Source organism: Homo sapiens, chromosome 5 (genome assembly GCF_000001405.40).
Source record: "Homo sapiens chromosome 5, GRCh38.p14 Primary Assembly".
Classification (NCBI taxonomy): domain Eukaryota; kingdom Metazoa; phylum Chordata; class Mammalia; order Primates; family Hominidae; genus Homo; species Homo sapiens.
In genome coordinates, this window is record NC_000005.10 from 174,479,662 (window position 1) to 174,498,955 (window position 19,294).

Below are 19,294 nucleotides of genomic sequence, written 5' to 3' on the forward strand. Positions count from 1 at the left end.
TTCAATAAATGTCATTAGAAAAACTGGATAGTCATACACAGAATAAAATTAGACCCTTATCTCACATCACATACAAAAATAAACTCAAAATAGATTAAAGACTTTGACATGAAGACATGAAACTGTAAAACTACTAGAAGAAAGTACAGAAAAAATGCTTCTTGACATTGGTGATGGCAACGATTTTTTGGACATAACACCAACAGAAGAGGAAACAAACCGAAAAATAAACAAATGGGATTGTATCAAACTAAAAAGCTTCTGTCACATGGTGGCTCATTACTTGCTTCGAGGCAGGTGCAGTGAGTCTACTCTGGGCTGGTCTGGTCTCCTCAGGTTCCAACCCAACCACTACCCGGCCAGTTCATGGAGAGGAGAGGTGCACTTTACAGGTCCCTGATGAACAAAGAGAACCCTCCACCACATCCAGGCCCTGGTCCATCAGCCCCATACCCACCTTATCCACAAAAACACATGGGCCCAGGACCTATGGGAGGGGGCCCTACCCACCTCTTCAAGGATACACCTATCAAGGATACAAAGATACCCACAGTACAGCTGGCAGGACAGACCTCGGGAGCCTCCTAAAACCACAGTGTATGTGGTAGAAGACCAAAGAAGACATGAGTTGGAACCATCCACCTGCCTCACAGCCTGCTGGACTGCTTTCTGTTGCTGCTGTCTCCAGGACATGCTCACCTGACCAGCCCAGCCATCCTCTCCTGCCAGCTCTGCCACCACCTCCGATAGATGTGCCTGCCCCTGTCTCTTCTGATTGCTGTAATAAATGACTAGCTCATACACCTTCGGCACTATGGGATTCTAGATTAGTGAGGGCTGCTGCTGTTAAATTCAGTGACTTGATCTCTTTAATGTCCAAAATCCATTTCTTACTGACCTTTAAAAATGTGCTAAGTGACTTTTTTTGGACAAAGGCTTAGTTGTGGAAAATGTATTTATAATTTTGTAATTATACATTCAAGGTAGTGGCAAAATGTAACACACCATGAATGATTTCTCTGCTTACACCCTGTAGGTTTCAATAAATTTGTTCAAACCTCAAAAAAAAAAAAAAAAAAGAAAGAAAGAAAAGAATCAACAAAGTGGAAAGGCAACCTATGAAATGGGAGAAAATATTTGCAAATCATATATCTGATAAGGAGTTAATATGCAAAACGCATAGGGAACTCATACAACTCAGTAGCAAGAAAACAAATAACCCAATTTGAAAATGAGCAAAAGATCTGAATAGATATTTCCCATTTGTTTATTTTTGCTTTTGTTTCCTGTTCTGTTGGTGTCATATCCAAAAAATCATTGCCATCAGCAATGTCAAGAAGGCTTTTTTCTGTACTTTCTTCAGTAGTTTTACAGTTTCAGGTCAAAACTTCATTTTGAGTTTATTTTTGTGTATGATGTGGTGTATTTGTATGTCTCAAAAGAAGGCATACAAATGGTCAGCATGGAAATGAAAATGTGCTCAACATCAGGAAAATGCAAATCAAAACACAATGACATATCACCTCACACCTGCAAGGATGGCTCTACTATCAAAAAAGACAAAAGTGTTGGTGAGGATGTGGAGAAAAGAGAACCCTTGTACATTTTTATAGGGATTTAAAGTGGTACAACCATTATAAAAAACAGTATGGAGTTTTCACCAAAAGTTAGCAGTAAAACTACCATATGATCCCACTTCTGGGTATACATCCAAAAAAAATAAAATCAGGATCTCAGAGAAGCATGCACTTCTGTGCTCATTGCAGCATTGTTCACGATCACCAAGATATGGAAACACCCAAATGCCCCTGGATGGATGAATGGATAAAAAAAATTGTGGTATATTTCTACTATGGGATATTATTTAGCCTTTAAAAAGAAGGAAATTTTGCCACTTGTGACAACATGGATGAACTTAGAGAACATTATGCGAAATGAAGTAAGCCAGACACAGAAAGACAAATATTACATGATCCCACTTATATGTGGAATCCAAAAAAGTGAAACTCATAGGAACAGAGAGTCAAATGGTGCTTGCCAGGGGCTGAAAGGCGAGGGAGATGTTGGTCAAAGTGTAGTTTCAGTTCTGCAGGATAAATAAGTTCTGGAGATCTAATGTACAGTGTGGTGACTATAGTTAGCAATACCATACTGTATACTTGAAATTTGCTAAGAGGGTCAATCTTACGTATCCTCACCTTAAAGCAGGGAAAGAAGGAAGAAAGGAAGGAAGGAGGGAAAGAAGGAAGGAAGGAAAGAAGGAAGGGAAGGAAGGGAAGAGAGGGAAGGGAGGAAGGGAGGAAGAAAGGAAAAAAGAAAAAGGGAATTAGTGAGGTGATGGGTGTGTTAATTGTGGTGATTGTGGTGATTATTTCCCTGTGTGTGTGTGTGTGTGTGTGTGTGTGTATATAAAAACATCAGTTTGTACACATTAAACATATATAACTTTTTTAATTAAACCTTAAAAACTGTTAAATATAAAATAAATCAAAATATTAAAATAAAATATTAAAATAAACACTGCCCTCTTTCTTTCGCTGATGAGGAACTTGGCTTTTGATGGGAGCAAAAATTCAGAGAAGAAAGCCAAATGCCACTAAGGAAAAAGTTGTTGAGAAATTATTCATTAAGATTTGCTATATTTGCTAGTATTTTACTATATATATTTGCTATAAATATATATATTTGCTAGTATTTCTTTTTGCTATATATTTGCTAGCATTTTATAGTCGTTCATTAATCAAACCCTCTCACAGTCCCTTGATGGGAAATGATAGTGAACGCAGTTCTGTCCATTTCAGAGGTAGGGTGATCTGGGTCACTCGGGGTCCAGGTTACAGTCTCAACGTTAACAGGATTAACAGAGAAAAAGGAAGCCTGTCTCAAAACAAAGCTTAGGAAGAAAGATGATGCCCCCATTCCCAGTACCGTCACTAATGTCATGTGCTTCCCACCGTTTACTCCCCAGCACATTTTGATCAGACATCTTGGTCCACATTTGATTTATTGTTCAGCTGACATGAAACTGAACAATGGTATAATTAGAAGGCTCGCACGCGGGTGCCTGCAGGGAGAGTAATTATTTGCCAAGAGAAGAACTGCGATAAAGGAGTAGCGTGGGTGTAGGTTTCCTGTTGTGCCCAGAGCCTGCTGTTCATACATTGTTGATACCAAAATACAAAGGTGACTGCACTCTTTTTCCTTAGAAGATGCAATTTATATTTTATCTGCTTGAGACTAGGTTTGCAGGGCTGTGCCTAACTCCTTTCCCTCCCACCCCCGTTCTACAGAGAGAGAGCTGTGAGTGAGCCTCTCGGGACTAGAACTTGTTAGGAGGCCCTGCCATCTCCATGGTTCCTTCCTCCCAGGACAGCACCTGCCTGCCCAGGATGTTACTGCCCTTCCCAGTGGACCCTAGACTTGCTGCTGGAATCTAGCTGGAGAGTTTCCAGGAAGGAGGGTGCTCTGCAAGCAGGCTCAGGCATGGACTTGGGGGAACGGGTAAAATAAGGGGAATTGACACTGATTGAGCATCTACTCCGTTGCCTGCACTAATCCATTTGATCCACATGGCATGTTGGGATTCGTACCCCCATCTTACAGGTAAGGAAACTGAAGCCTGGGGAGGTAAAAAAGTGCATCCAAGACAACTCAGCCAGTAGGTAAGGAAGGCCAGGATTTGAACCCAGGGTTCTTTGGTGCTGATGGCCTGCTGTTTCCTCTGATTCAATCTGCCTCCCCACAATGGGAGAAGAGCCCCCAGAGAGTCCAGGGAGAACAGATCAAAATGCTGTTCACTTCCACACTGTTGATGTCCTCCCTGTGACTGGTCCTTAGTTAGATCCTGGTTAAAAGACTGTTGGTTTTGTAATTCTAATTCCTTGTCCTGGCTCATGTTGACCTTATAGAGTATTCTGGCCCAGGTCACTGTGACCCTGTTGCTCCCTGGCTCTAGGTGTGGTCCCTCCAGAGAAAAAAGACCAAGCTGTGGGATTGAGGTGTGTCAAGGAATGGGCTGAGTTTCCAACAGCCGCCAGGTCAGGGCTTTATGCTACACCAACTGAGGCCCGACCTGTCTCCGTTGCACTGCAGTAAAGAGGCCTGGATTGCTAACATTAGCCCGTGCAGCATTGTGCCAGACAACAGTCTGCTGGGGTCGCTGTCTTTTTTAATGATCTCACTCAACCCTCAAATGTGCTTTTCCAGGTGGAGATCAGCAGCCCCATTTTACAGACGAGGAAACTGTGGCTCAGAAAATCCAAGTGTCTGGTTGAGTCTGGTAGTGGAATGGGATTTGGAGTCAGGGAGACCTGGCTTTGAATGCCCATCCTGTTTCTTTATAGCTTTGTGCCTCAGGAAATGCCAGTTCAACTCTGATATATGATTATCTTGTCTGTAAACCAAGGTAAAGAAGAAAACTGTCTCCTCAATTTGTTGGGACAATTAAGTATATTTTTATTTAAAATACCTGGCATATAGTAGGTACCCAATGAATAATGGTTAGTGTAATTACAGGAATAGTCACTGAGTTTAATATCACATGTCATTTCTTATGGTTGTCAAGAGACCTGTGCTGAAATATATTCTGAGCTCATATCTGGGAAAAAATGCTGGTATCGATGAGCCACATTTGCTTTGGCATAGGAGGGCGAGTGGCTGCATATGTATTTCCCATGCTGGTTTACTATTATTGCCCAAGGTCATACCAGGAGGGATTTGATTTGAGTTCTACTTTTATCCAAAGCACCCACTCTTTCTACTATATCCATTTTAGCCTTCCCTACTGTAATTTCCTGGTTGTTTTAGTTTCTTATGGTTTCTGTAACATATTACTACAAACAAGATGGCTTAAAACAATAGAAATGTATTCTCTTGTAGTTATGGAGCCCTGAAGTCCAAAATCAGTATCACTAGGCTGAAGTCAAGAGCTTCCAAAGGCCCTAGGGGTGAATCCATTCCTCACTCTTCCAGCTTCTGCAGCTGCCAGCATTCCTTGGCTTGTGGCTGCAGCACTCCCATCTTTGCCTCTATTGTCACATGGCTTCCTCTGTGTGTGTCATCCACCTCTTCCTCTCTCTTAGAAGGACACTTGAGATTGCTTTTAGAGCCCATCTGGATAATCTCTCCATCTCAAAATCTTTAAGTTAATCATATCCTCAAAGATCCTCTATTTCCCTATAAGGTAACATTTATAGGTTCCAGAGATTAGGACCTGATGTGTTTAGGGGGCTACTTTTCAGCCTTCCACACTAGGCTTTATATCCCTATTCCGAAAAAACTTTTTAGCTGAGCAACTCAATAGCCACTGAAAGGTTATGTCTCATCTTAGAAAGGTAAATTATAAGAAATTCTGAAATAGTGGGTCAGCCTGACTCTTGCTCTTTCTCAGATTTTAGACCCCAGACTTAGTACCTGAGCTTTAGCCTTTTCTCTCAAGACCAAGTCCCAGTCAGGTATTTCTGCTCACATTTCTTTTCTTGTTTTCTTTTTCTTTCTTCTCTTTTCTTTTCCTTTCTTTCTTTCTTTCTTTTTTTTTTTCTTTCTGAGATGGAGTTTTGCTCTTGTGGCCCAGGCTGGAGTGCAGTGGCACGATCTTGGTTTACTGCAACCTCAGCCTCCTGGGCTCAAGTGATTCTCCTGCCTCAGCCTCCTGAATAGCTGGGATTATAGGTGCCCTCCACCACACCCAGCTAATTTTTGTATATTTAGTAGAGATGGGATTTTGTCATGTTGGCCAGGCTGGTCTCAAACTCCTGATCTCAGGCAATCCACCCACCTCAGCTTCATTTCAAGCCTGCAGTTTGAACTTCCCATCTTAAAACACTCCTCTGGATCCTGCATGAAGTGCATGCCCCTAATCCTGGTTTCAAGTCTTCTGTGCCCTCTGCAATCTGGCTTCTTGAATAGTAAGGGTAGGCAGAGCTGCTGTAACAAATAGACTTTAGCACGTAATGGCTCATCACTGTAGAAATTTCCTTGCTGATATGTATGGGGTGGAGCAACTGACTCTCCTCTACATGATCTTTGGGGAATTAAACTACTTTCACTTTGTGGCTCCATATCCTTCTACCAGGGTGAGTAGAAGCATGAATAGTGTGTAATTGCTCTTCTCATATTTAATGTCAGTTCTTGGAGTCCAGGTTTGGTCAATCAGATGTCCCTGCCTAGGATTTTGACTTTTAAGGGAGTGTGACCTGAAGATACTGGACTAATTAAGACCAATTCTGGCAACATCATCAGTGCCATTCAGTGGCCTGTGGCAGCAACGTCTTAACCAAGCTGTTCATATAAAAACTTTGTGAGGTCCTGCCACTGCTAGTTTCCTATAGTCCCTCCTTTTCCATGCCAGGCTGTCCAGTCTTACCATTGATGTTGTGAGCTCTGAATATCACTCCATTTCCTTGTCTGCTTGAATTCATTGAATTCATAAGTATCAGTTTCTGGTATCTGAGCCAAGAACTGTACTGGATTCACCTACCTCACAAGGGCTTCTGTGCAGATTCCATTAAATTAGAGATGGGGAAAAAGAAATGCTTCATTCATTTAAATGTTATGTCGGGGAAAAGAGATTAAAAGTAACTGCAGCACATAAGATCCAGCAATCCTCCTCCTAGCTATTTACCCAACTGATTTGAAAACTTAACCAAAACCTGAACACATATGTTTAAAGCAACTTCTGTAATCATTACCAAATTCTGGCAGCAATCAAGGTGTCCATCAATAGGTGAATGGATAAGCAAACTGTGGTACACCCATGCAATGGGATACTATTCAGCAATGAACAGGAATTAACTATTAAGTTAAGCAAAGACATGGATGACTCTGAAAGATATATTGTTTAGTTAAAAAAAACTAAAAAGGCTACATACTATATGATTCCATTTATAAACATTGTAGAAAAGAGAAACTATAGAAATGATAAGCAGATCAGTTGTTCGGGCGTTTGAGAGAGGATTGAATAGATGAAGCATGGGAGACTTTTTAGAGTGGTGAAACTGTTCTATATAGCACTTCAAGGATGGACACATCATACTGTGCCTTTGTCAAAACCTTCAGCCGGGTGCGGTGGCTCACGCCTATCATCTCAGCACTTTGGGAAGCCGAGGCCAGTGGATCAATAAGGTCAGGAGTTCGAGACCAGCCTGACCAACATGGAGAAACCCCATCTCTACTAAAAATACAAAATTAGCCAGGTGTGATGGTGCATGCCTGTAATCCCAGCTACTCGGGAGGCTGAGGCAGGAGAATCTCTTGAACCCGGGAGGCAGAGGTTGCAGTGAGCCGAGATTGTACCATTGCACTCTAGCCTGGGCAACAAGAGCGAAACTCCATCTCAAAAAAGAAAAAAAGAAAGAGAGAAAGAGAGAAAGAAAAGAAAAGCAAAGAAAGAAAAGAAGGAGGAAAGAAAGAAAGAAAGAAAAGAAGGAAGGAAGGAAGGAAACTTTGTAACAGAAACAATGAACCTTAATGCATGTAAGCTTAAAAAAAAAATCATTTAGGAGGTTTGACAATCCCAGGATGGAATGCAGATTGTGACAAAAGAATCTAACTGCATTTTAAATGTATGAAACGATCTCACTGAAGAGGGTGGAGAAATAAAGGGGCTGATTTATGTAACTTCAGAAATGAGTGGAATCTGTAAAACGAATGGCAAAAGGAACTGCACATAAGCGCTGTACTCTAGTTAATAAATTGTTTCCCATGGAGGTACAGGTTGACAGTTCTGAAGCCACTTTACACGGGTACCTAAATTGGACAATTAAATAAACGGATGGTGAATGATGGTAGGTTTCTCACTATTGAGTGGGAGGTTATAGATGAGAAGACCGATAATCTACTCTCAAGGAGGTGGGGTATAACTCTCACTCCTTTAGCGTCAGTGCCACAGTGACTTCCTTCCAAAGACTGTGGTACAGAAGGGGAGGAAGGACGGGAGGTGACTCCACCATTGAGAAACTTGACAAATAGCGCCTCAGCCAGATGATCAAAGTCAACATCCACAGTGATAAATCATGTTGCTAGTGTACGCCCCTGATATGATGTGATGAAAATGGCACTTCACTTCCATGGACTTCCCCAAAACTCACAATGTAACTTTAACAATGAGAAAACATCAGCTAAATCCCAATCGAGTGACATTCTGCAAAATACCTGACCAGTACTCCTGAAAGCTGTCAAGATCACCACAAATGAGGAAAGTCGGAGAAACTACCATGGCCGACAAAAGCCTAAGGAGATGGATGATTCAATGTAATGTGGTGTCTCTAAATGAGATCCTGGAAGAGAAAAAGGACATTAGATAAAAACTAAAGAAATTCGAATAAAGTAGAGGCATTAATTACTAATAAAGTATCAATGTCAGCCCCTTGGTTGTGAAAATTGTGCCATACTAAGTAAGGTAATATACTACTAATAGGAGAAACCGGCTGTGGAGTCCGTGGGAATGCTCTGTACTGTCTTTGTAATTGTCCTGTAAATCTCAATCTATTCTAATTTTTTGTTATTGTTGTTTTTTAAAAGTATAAAAAAATTAGTCTGGGGGCTGTGGCTCATGCCTGTAATCCCAACACTTTGGGAGGCAGAGGCGGGCAGATCACAAGGTCAGGAGTTCGAGACCAGCCTGGTCAATATGGTGAAACCCCGTCTCTACTAAAAATACAAAAATTAGCCAGGTGTGGTGGTATGTGCCTGTAGTCCTAGCTACTCAGGAAGCTCAGGCAGGAGAATCGCTTGAACCCAGGAGGTGGAGGTTGCAGTGAGCCGAGATCGTGCCACTGCACTCCAGCCTGGGCGACAGAGTGAGATTCCATCTCAAAAAAAAAAAAAAAAATTAAAGGAAGTTGCAACTTCAGACTCAGGAAGGTTGCCCAGAGGCCAGTGTCTAAAATACAACTATTACTGCAGTATCTCAAGTTATACATTTGAACCGTAGTATACAGATGACAAGACTGAGCTCTGAGAGAAACAGTAGGTTTCCCAAGGCCACAGGATGAGGAGAGCTGGGCTGTGAACCCAGCATGACAGCCGTGGATTCCCACGTTCTTTACTGTATCAACAGCACATCCGCCTGCCTCTGGCTGGTTGCTGTGTTTGTATAGGCAGGATTCTTGCATGCGTGCACACACACACACACACACACACACACACACACACACACACACACACACGTAGTCTTCAGCTCCAGTGCAGTCGGCCTCGCAAATCACCTTCAAGCAGCCTCAGACCTGCAGGATTTGCATTGGCTTTCCTTCCATTCCAGTATGCCTCCGTCTCGCCTCTCGGCAGGCTGGGCAGCCATTTCCCAGCCAGCCTCCCCTAAGAGCTGCGTATGCTGCAAAGATACCCTGAAGCCTTTGTCTACATCCTTCCCGTCCTTGTCCAACTTCCACCCTGCAGTGGTAGGAAGGAGGAGGGTGCAGGAGGTGCTTGGCCAGGAGTAAAGGGGTAGAGGGAATGGGTGAAAGTGCTTCACCCTGGCAGGTGTGGCTGGGAAATTTCTCTTCCTAAGTGTGACACACACACAACGCTTAGCATAGCATCTGGCATGAGGGATGTGCTACAATTTTAGAGGTAGACATTTTATAGACAGTATGTGGTTGCTGGTAGGAGCCTACACTTAGATGCCTGCCCTATCTGCTCCATAAGCCAAGCTCACTTATTTTTATGCCATTTGAGAGCATTTATTCATTTATTCATTGAATATTTTCTGAATGCATCCTATGTGCTGTGAACCTGTCTGAGTAATACTATAGTCACAAGGGCATCAGGGATGACAGCGGCCAACAGGCTGTGTTTCTATTAGATCAGAGTTCACAGGCCAGTGTTTCCTGGGAATAAGTGGCTACTGAGTGACTAGATCTCAGGACTCAGGGAAAGACCCTAAACGCTCCTTTTCACGTTACTGTGGGCTATAGTTCCACTATCTTAGCTCCAGGTTGTTGAATGTTATCCTTGAGCTATAGAGAAGGTATTGCAAAGAGGGGTGCGAGCCCCAGGGACTCCAAATGTCACACAACACCTGGCGGCTGGCCTAATGCTGAGCATGGTGGAAAGGCCTAGTTGCAAACGCCTTTCCTGAACTTTCAAAATCATTTGCAAATGACCCTTTCCATCTTACTCCTCCAGTCCTAATTTTGTAGAATATCATCATAAACCTAGCAAGGAATCTATGACAGGATGTGTTAAATCCAAGACTTAAATTAACAATAGCTACCATTGGCCACGCATCTACTGTGTGCCAGATGCTTCATGGTGAACTTTCTTGTATGTAGTTTTGTTTCATTTTATCCTCACAAGAAGGTGATGTTAGGCTAGAAATATCAGACATGAGGCACATACCTTTGATTTGTGCATAAGGTCCAAACCCTGAATGATCTGATCCTGACATACTGACCTCATTTTTGCCCTGATGGAGAGAAAGAGGAAACTGGGCCGGGGGCGCGGGGGGGCGGTGCGGGGATATCGAGATAACCAGGCCTGAGTGAGGACACAGTAGAGATAATTCTCAGGAGGACAGAGTGACGGAGGTGTAGGCACCATAAGCTGTTGGAATTGCAGCTGCAGAGGCACAGAATCTTGACACCAGTGTGGGGAGTCCCCTTCTATTGGAATCAGCTTGGGAGTCCCATAAATGCAGAAGGCAGCTGGCCTGACTCAATGAATGGCAATGTCCACCAGGATAGTGGCACCTGCAGAGGCAGCAGCAGGGCCGAGGGAGCCTGCCAAGGAAGAGCCTTCCTAACAAGAAAAAGCATGTGTGCTGCTCGGGTGAGGCAGGGGAGGTTACCTCCCTGCCCTCTCAGTGATCCCAACTTAAGTCTGGCTCTCAAGGCCAGATGATGTGTCTCATTCCTGATGTTGCTTAAAACTATTCAACCAATGACAATTTAGGAACTCAACATTTAATTCACTTTGTCCTTTTTACATGAAAAAAAAAAGAAAACATAAGGCTAGGACACATATTTGAGATTTGTTTTTTACTTATAGACAGGGTCTTGCTCTACTGCCCAGGCTGGAGTGCAATAATGCAATCATAGCTCACTGCAGCCTCCAACTCCTGAGCTCACTCAATCCTCCTGCCTCAGCCTCCTGAGTAGCTGAGATTACAGGCATCAACCACCACACCAGGCTCCATATTGGAGATTTATTTTTTTCCCCAGAAGCCAAACGATGGAAAGGTGCCAAAGATTATCTTTTTCCCCAGAAGCCATACGATGGAAAGGTGCCAAAGACAGTTCTGCAATGTGAGGAATGACCCTTCCACTTCTGTCCTTTTCACAAAAGTCATCCAGGCAACAGGTGGGAATGAGGAAGTAGATGTAACCACGGGAACAGGAAGAGAATGGGTCGCTGTTGCTTATAACTCATTGAAGGGCCTGCTGGCTATATGGAAATAGAGGCCCATCAACAGGGAAAGTTTATGGGAACTGACATGGCAGCAAGAGAGACAGGACATAGGAACACTGCGTGACACAGGAATGGGGCAGTGTGGTCCTTGCACCCACAGCAGCGTATCCTAAGTGTGTTAACCAGCCCTACCTCCTTCCCCTTGCGTCTCACTGTATGCTTTAGATGTGTTCCAGAAACTCCACAGTTTGAGCATCTTCATTTGGTCCATCGGCTTTTCTATCTGGTGGCCTCTCAGAGAGCCTGTCAGGCATCATACTTGAAGGCTACCATTGCATCGATGGAATATCTCTCCCCAACACTTAAAAACAGGAACTGGATGAAGTGGCTCCCCTGTTTAGACACTTCCGGTGGTGCCCATTGCATTCATTGCAAAAGGTAACCTTCTTAATGTGGTGGTGAAGGCATGAACAAGCTCCCTGCCTGCCTCTCAGCCTCACCTCTTGCTGTGCCTTCTGTCTTGCTCAATGCCTATTAACACACGGGCACCCTTTGAGCTAATCCCTTCCTGCCCCTTCCAGTTCCAGACATTTGCAGCCACCATCCTCCCTTGCAGAAAGCACCCCTCCCACCTTCACCCGGTTCTTTCTGCTCCTCTTTGGTCAGGGAGTTCTGACCCATCTGGGTCAGGCTGCAGAGTGTTGTGTTCTTATTGCAGCATTTAGCACAATTTATAATTTCTATATTTGCCTGTTTAATGTCTCTCTCCTCTACTAGATTTAAGCTCAAGTGAGACCAGAGACCATGCCTACCTTTTTCTGGCATGGTCCCCATCACATGGCACAGCCTGTGCTGTGATCAGCACTCCATAAGTATCTATTGCATTAACAAATACATAAGTGAGCCCCTGCCATCTACTATCTGCAAAGTATTTTACATGCATGTTCTCAAACCTCAATGCTGGAAGCTCAGAGAGGGGAAGACACTTGCTGCATGTTTCCCAGCTGGTAAACAACAGAACCAGGATTCTAACCTAGGTATGTCGAACCCCAAGGCCTTGTTCTTAACCATGGGCATACCCATTCAGAAGGGGTCAGAGCTGCTGGGAGCCTGAGACCTGATCAGCTTGTGGAACAGGAAGCCGTGAGGCTGAGTCAACAGAGAATGCCTCTCTGTCCTCTGGAACACTCTCTCCAGATCCTCCCGTGTGTGGCTGCAGCTCAACATTCAGGTCTATTATGTGTATTTCTTCCACTAATAAGAACATTCAATTTTGATTTACTGAGAATAAAAGAAAAAAAGAAATAAAGCGGTGGGGTGAAACTACATAAGAACAGTAAGTAAGCAAGAAGCTCATGAGCTGCGTTAGACAAAGCGGAAGTGAGTAGAGCACCTGTGTGTGACCAGGGGGAGAAAAGGGTAAAGGGACACAAGAGCACCCAATCGTAAATATCCATGGGCACTCAATGTCCATACGGTCTCAAATCGCCCACCATTAGTGACACCCTTTCTGGCCAAATGTATCCTGTGTCCAAAACCCTCAGAGAGAAACACTAACTTCCACTGGCAAGCCACAGCTCAGGCCAGGTGGCCTGGCCTGCCACCTCTCAGGAAGAACAAGCGTGCTGGCTCCAGGCACCTCCCACCTCAGTTCTGGCACCTCCAGGCCCTCAGTTCTGGTCTATAACCTCACCATCAGCAGAGCAGGCTGACAAGACAGAAAGAGGGGGAGAGAGAAAGACAGGATGTAGAAGCGTTGCATGGCCCAGAACACAGACAGTGTGTGGGCTTTTGCCCCGTGGCATCCTGTCCTAAGTGTAGTAACCAACCTTCTTTCTTCCCCTTGTTTCTCAGTGTATATTTTAGATCAATTTAGTAAACCATGTGGTTGAGCATCATTGTTTGGTCCATGAGTCTTTCTGTTTCATGGCCTCTGGGAGAGCCTGCCTGGCAGTATACCTGGGGGCTACCATTGCACCAAGGATGCTCCCCCATGAAAAGGTCTCAGCTCAAATGTCACCACCTCAGTGAGGCTTCCCCAGCCTCCCTAGCTCCTCTCCCTCTACCTCATTCACTACTCCATCGCTTGCTTTATTTTCTTGGTCCACTCTCTCACATCTTATCTATGGAGTCAATGTATGCATTTCCTTGTGTTTTGCTGCCCAGCCGCCCTGGAAAGTAGGCTCCATGAGAGCAAGAGGTTTGCCTTCTGACTGCTGGGTCCACAGAGCCCAGAACTCAACCTGGCACACAGGAGATGCTCCATGTAGAAGTGGCCACTCAATGCACTCAGCAAGGAGGCCGTAGCACTTCCCATGCACCATGACTGTGCCAGGGTAGGGCGCTAACGTGAATAAGCTGTTCTCGGCCCTAGGGACTTGAGGTTGAGAGGTGGTGAGAAAAGACCCACACGCCACAAGCAGATGATGATTCCATCACAGAAGGAGAGGAGGAGGCCTGGAGGAAGGCTTGTCTCATCCTAGCAACCAGAGGTTTTCTCTCCTGGTGTGGCCCAGGAAAGTGAGAAGACGTTTCCTTCCAGCTATAGTCATGGAGCCACAAAGTCGGGATTCAAGGCAAATTAGGCTGCTGATTTGTATGTTAAACAAGGTTAATTCCATCCATTAGCCAAAGATGTTTTCAAAGCGCCTGGCACAAGAGCGAGGAGCAATTAGTGTCTTTGTATTAGTGGATGTGGGCGTGGGGCCAGGACGTTAAGGGGAGGGGGATGCAATTTCTGCACTCTTTATGATATCATCAAAAGTAAATGAATTATGAAAACAAAAGAGGCAATATGAGGCTTCCAGTACTAATTACTGGGTAGGACAGAAAGTTCACAGTGAAGGAGGAAAGAATGATCAGAGAAGGACAAGGATACGGATCATCTGGCCTGCAGGTGTCTTTAGACAAGGTGGGGCTTCCGTGACTCCACCTTCCAATTTCAGGGAAAAGCTCTGCTTTTGCTCCAAATAAAGAAGCTGGATCGTGAGGAGTGATTTCAGCTGTTGTTTTTTGGTTTTGGCTTTGGTTTTTAATTTTCTTTCTGGTCTTAGCCTTAACAATGCTGGACAAACTAATCAACTCGATTCAGAGGCGACTTTAGGCCTTCAGAGAAGTTAACTAATAACAACCCTGGAGCTGGTTGCTTTGAGAAATGACCACAGAGCTGGTTGCTTTGGTAATCATAATATTTCCCCTCAATAAAGGGCTGGCCACTCTCTGCCATGCACTACAGGGTAGGATCTGATACAGTCCACAGAGCCAGTCTCAGGGGTAGATGGAGGCAGTGGGCTGACACTGATATGGAAAAGATTGTTTTACGGGTGCTGAGGGGCATGTATGTGACTTTAAAGGATGTCAAACTTACCCAACAGAAAATTATTTCTCTTTCATTTTCCTTCCAGTTCTTCTGATTAGATCAAGGAAAAGGATTCAGTTAGGCGCTAGCCTGTCTTAACACCTCCCTCAGCAACTGATAGGCATATTTTTAAATAGAAGTCTGGCAGACAATGGCATCAAGCTAAAATTTAATATCCTTTTGTTTTTAAAGTTTTAATTTGTACAATTGCCTTCTGTTAACATAAAATGATTATGTTTTTCCATTTATGGTAATGATATAAAGTTTTATGCAAAAATAGTGAATTGATTTTTTTAAACTTTTAAGTACATAATTCTATGAATGATATGATAATACAGCAGAAATTATGAAAGTGGTGCTTGAATAACTGACATCTGAAAAACACCTGTGTAAAGGAAGGAGTACTGGCCAGAGGGACAAGGAGGACAAACTCTTAGGTCCTCTTCCACTGCTGTGTAATCTTGGGCAAGTCACAACCTCTCTGGGCCTCAGTTTCCCCAAACATGCAATGCCAGTTGAACAAGATGCTGTCTCAGAGATGAACAAGCCATGATAGAATATTTCTTCTATCCTCAGAGTTTAGTTGAGAAAATTGAGGCCCAGAAAGGGCCAGAACGGTCCTGGCACACAGTAGGTGACCAACAAGCTGGTCACTTCCTCCCTTTCTGCTCTCCCTCCCTCCCCTTCTGCTCTCCCTCCCTCCCCTCCTGATCTTGCCAGTCACTAGAGAGAGAACTCTGTGTCACCCATGGATAGAAGTTCCACAAACACCGACAAGGGAAAACTAAGGGGCAATTTCATTGAAACAACAAGTTATTTTGAAAACTATTGGTCCCTGTTACAGTTGATTGTTTGGAAACCAAGAGATGTGTGTCCCACACAGAAAATTTCTGGGAAATGTTACCAGTCTTTAAAAACATTTGGTAACAGTAACTGTTTTCAAAATAATTGGCTGTACTACAGGCAGAGGGGGAAAAGAAGTCAGGAGAAGTGCACTGTATATAGAAAATTGGTAATAAGGGGCATGAAGTTTCAGAGCTGGGGGTTGGAGTGACATTTTACGTTATGATTCCATTTTCATATATTACTTTTTGTAATTGAAGGAAAAGACCCAAACAACATAGCCTACATATTTTTATATATTTCTAATGTTTGGGGAACAGTTTGGGTGGTACGGTATCTTCAAAAGGGATAAAAACTCAAATATTTCTGAGGTTCACATAGAAAATGTAATGAATAAGCCTAAATAAATAAAGCAGGCAGATAGAAATGGGGGAATTGAGGGGGACCAGCAAGCTTCAAACAATTGCAACATTTGGAATGTGGGCCCAGAGATGTCAGCTCATTCCATTGTTCCCCCACTCAAAAAAAAAAAAAAATGAAATCCAAATTTTAATGTGAAACCTTCCATTCTTTTACTGGTAGCTTACATCTTAAAGACTGAATGTTAATTAAACAAACTGACCTGAAGATCACCAGTTGGAAGTGTCTCCAAATCCCTTTAAATCCATTCAGAGGCTCCACTTTCGGCCCCTGGGGAGGTGAAGCATGGCTCAATCTCTCCATGAACTTTCTTGCTTCTTCAATTTACAGCGGGGTAGGGGAATCTCTGGTGATTATCTAGATGTGCGCTCCTCTGTGTGCCCACATTTCTAGTGCCCCAGCTTCCAAACTAGCCCCTTTCACCCTGGGGTGCCATTGCTGTCCTACTCTCTATTTCCCCTCTCGGGCTGTGAGTGCCACAAGGGCTGAGCCTTGGGGGCTCACCTCTGTCTCCTGGCATCTGCATACAGTAGGTGCATAGTAAAGCTCTGCGGAGTGCATGAGCAAATAAATAAAGAGAGAATAAATGAGTTGCTTAAGGGGAACTTAATTGAACTCAGATTAATGTAGTGGATGAAGGGAAAAAAAAAAATCATGGAATTATGGGTGTGTCTGTCTTCATGTCTGGGCCAAGTGTCTTTCCTAATAGGCCTACTTAGTGTTTCACCTTTGAATGCCTCTAGACAAGAATTTCCCTAAACATAGTCTGTAGATGTTACATGGAAAAAGACCCATTCTCACAGAAGTTTTGAAAATCTTAGACATGCTTTTTAAATTGCAGGACTTCTCTGAGCCCTTAAATGCTGATGATTTCCCAGCCTTATTTCATCTTTTGATTGATGAGTAACTACTGGGACAAGTGCTCCAGGGTAAACAATTTCTAAAATGCTGTTCTAGGAAACGATAAGCCTAAGATCAAAAAATATATGCTTGTGTTATTCTCAGCTCTTAATCAAACCGCCAGCTCTCACTTGTCAAAGCCAAGGCCTCAAGTTTGGCTGGAATGGCATGGCAGGGCCAGAAACAAGACACCAGCCCCCAACTTTTTTTTTTTTAAATTTATTTTAAATTCAGGGGTTACATGTGCAGGCTTGTTACACGGGTATATTGTGTGATGCTGAGGTTTGGGCCTCTATGGATCCCATCACCCAAGTAGTGAACATAGCACCTGATAGGCAGTTTTTCAACACTTACTCCCGACTTGTTCATGTCCAGGGATGTTCCTGCAGCATTATTTCATGGAGCTAGGTTAGGCGTATGTTCTTACTACCATTTTATGGGTGAGACAACTGAGGCTCTGGGAAATTAAGAAGTAACCATTTTTAAAAATTGTGGTAAAATAAATATAACATGAAATCTACCATTTTAACCATTTTTAAGTGTACGATTTAGTGGCATTAAATCCACTTATGGTGTTGCACAACCATCACCACTATCCATTTCCAGAACTTTTCATCATCCCAAAGAGAATCCCAAATTCTGTATCCATTAAATAGTAATTCCCCATTCACACCTCCTCCAGCTCCTGATAACCACTAATTTACTTTCTTCTTTATAAATTGACTATTCTAGGCACTTCATATACAGTATTTGTCCTTTTGTGTCTGGCTTATTCCACTTAGCAAATTGTTTCAAAGGTTCATCCATGTTGTAGCATGTATCAGAATTTCATTCCTTTTTACAGCTGAATAACATTCCATTGTATGGCTATAGCAGTTTGTTTATCCATTTATCCCTTAATGAACATTTGGGTTGTTTTCACCTTTTAGCTATTGTGAACACTACTGCTATGAACATTGATGTACAAGTATTTGTTCAAGTCCCTGCTAGTAATTCTTTTGAATATATATCTAGGAGTGGAATTGCTGGTCATGTGTTTAATTTTTTCGGGAATTGCCACACCTTTTTCCACTATGGCTACCTTGTTTTACATTCCCACCAGCAATGCGTAAGTGTTCCAATTTTTCCCATCTTCGTCAACACTTGGTGTTTTCTGTTTTTTTTTTTAATTTATTATAGCCATAGGTAGGAAGTGGTATCTTCTTGTAGTTTTGATTTGCAATTTCCTAATGATTCGTGATGCTAAGCATCTTTTCATGTGTGATATGGTTTGGCTCTGTGCCCCACCAAAATCTCATTTTGAATTCTACTCCCATAATTCCCACATGTTGTAGGAGGGACCCAGTGGGAGATAATTGAATCATGGGGGCAGTTTCCCCCATACTGTTCTCATGGTAGCGAATAAGTCTCATAAGATCTGATGGTTTGGTAAGGGGTTTCCACTTTTGCTTCTCTCTCATTCTCTCTTTCCACCACCATGTAAGAGGTGCCTTTTGCCTTCTGCCATGATTGTGAGGCCACCCCAGCCACGTGGAACTGTGAGTCCATTAAACCTATTTTTCTTCCCTGTCTCAGGTGTGTCTTTATCAGCAGCATAAAAGTGGACTAACACAGTAAATTGGTACCAGGAGTGGGGTGCTGCTGAAAAGATACCCGAAAATGTGGAAGCAACTTTGGAACTGGGTAACAGGCAGAGGTTGGAAGAGTTTGGAGGGCTCAGAAGAAGGCGGGAAAATGTGGGAAAGTTTGGAACTTCCTAGAGACTTGTTGAATGGCTTTACCCCAAATGCTGGTAATGATATGGACAATAAAGTCCAGGCTGAGGTGATCTCAGATGGAAATGAGGAAGCTGTTGGGAACTGAAGCAAAGGTGACTCTTGCTATGTTTTAGCAAAGAGATTGGCAGCATTTTGCCCCTGCCCTGGAGATTTGTGGGACTTTGATCTTGAGAGAGATGATTTGGGGTATCTGGCAAAGAAATTTCTAAGCAGCAAAGCATTCAAGAGGTGACTTGGGTGCTGTTAAAGGCATTCTGTTTTATAAAGGAAGCAGAGCATACAAGTTCAGAAAATGTGCAGCCTGACCATGCAATAGAAAAGAAAATCCCATTTTCTGAGGAGAAATTCAAGCTGGCTGCAGAAATTTGCATAAGTAACAAGAAGCCGAATGTTAATCCCCCAGACAATAGGGAAACTGTCTCCAGGGCATGTCAGAGGTCTTCACGACAGCCCCTTCCATCACAGGCCCTGAGGCCTAGGAGGAAAAAATGGTTTTGTGGGCCAGGTCCAGGGTCTCCATGCTGTGTGCAGCCTAGGGACTTGGTGCCCTGCATCCCAGCTGCTCCAGTTGTGGCTGAAAGGGGCCAAAATAGAGCTCAGGCCATGGCTTCAGAGGGTGCAAGTCCCGAGTCTTGGCAGCTTCCACGTG

At 43.4% G+C, this 19,294-nt stretch overlaps 1 long non-coding RNA gene and 1 pseudogene across 1 annotated transcript in view; both read left to right on the plus strand.

Annotated features, from left to right (window-relative positions):
- Window positions 1-19,294, plus strand: part of LINC01411 (long intergenic non-protein coding RNA 1411) — a 190,786-nt gene that overhangs the window by 143,308 nt on the left and 28,184 nt on the right. The window lies entirely within an intron of this gene.
- LOC724105 (cysteine rich transmembrane module containing 1 pseudogene) lies at window positions 282-1,063 on the plus strand (annotated as a pseudogene).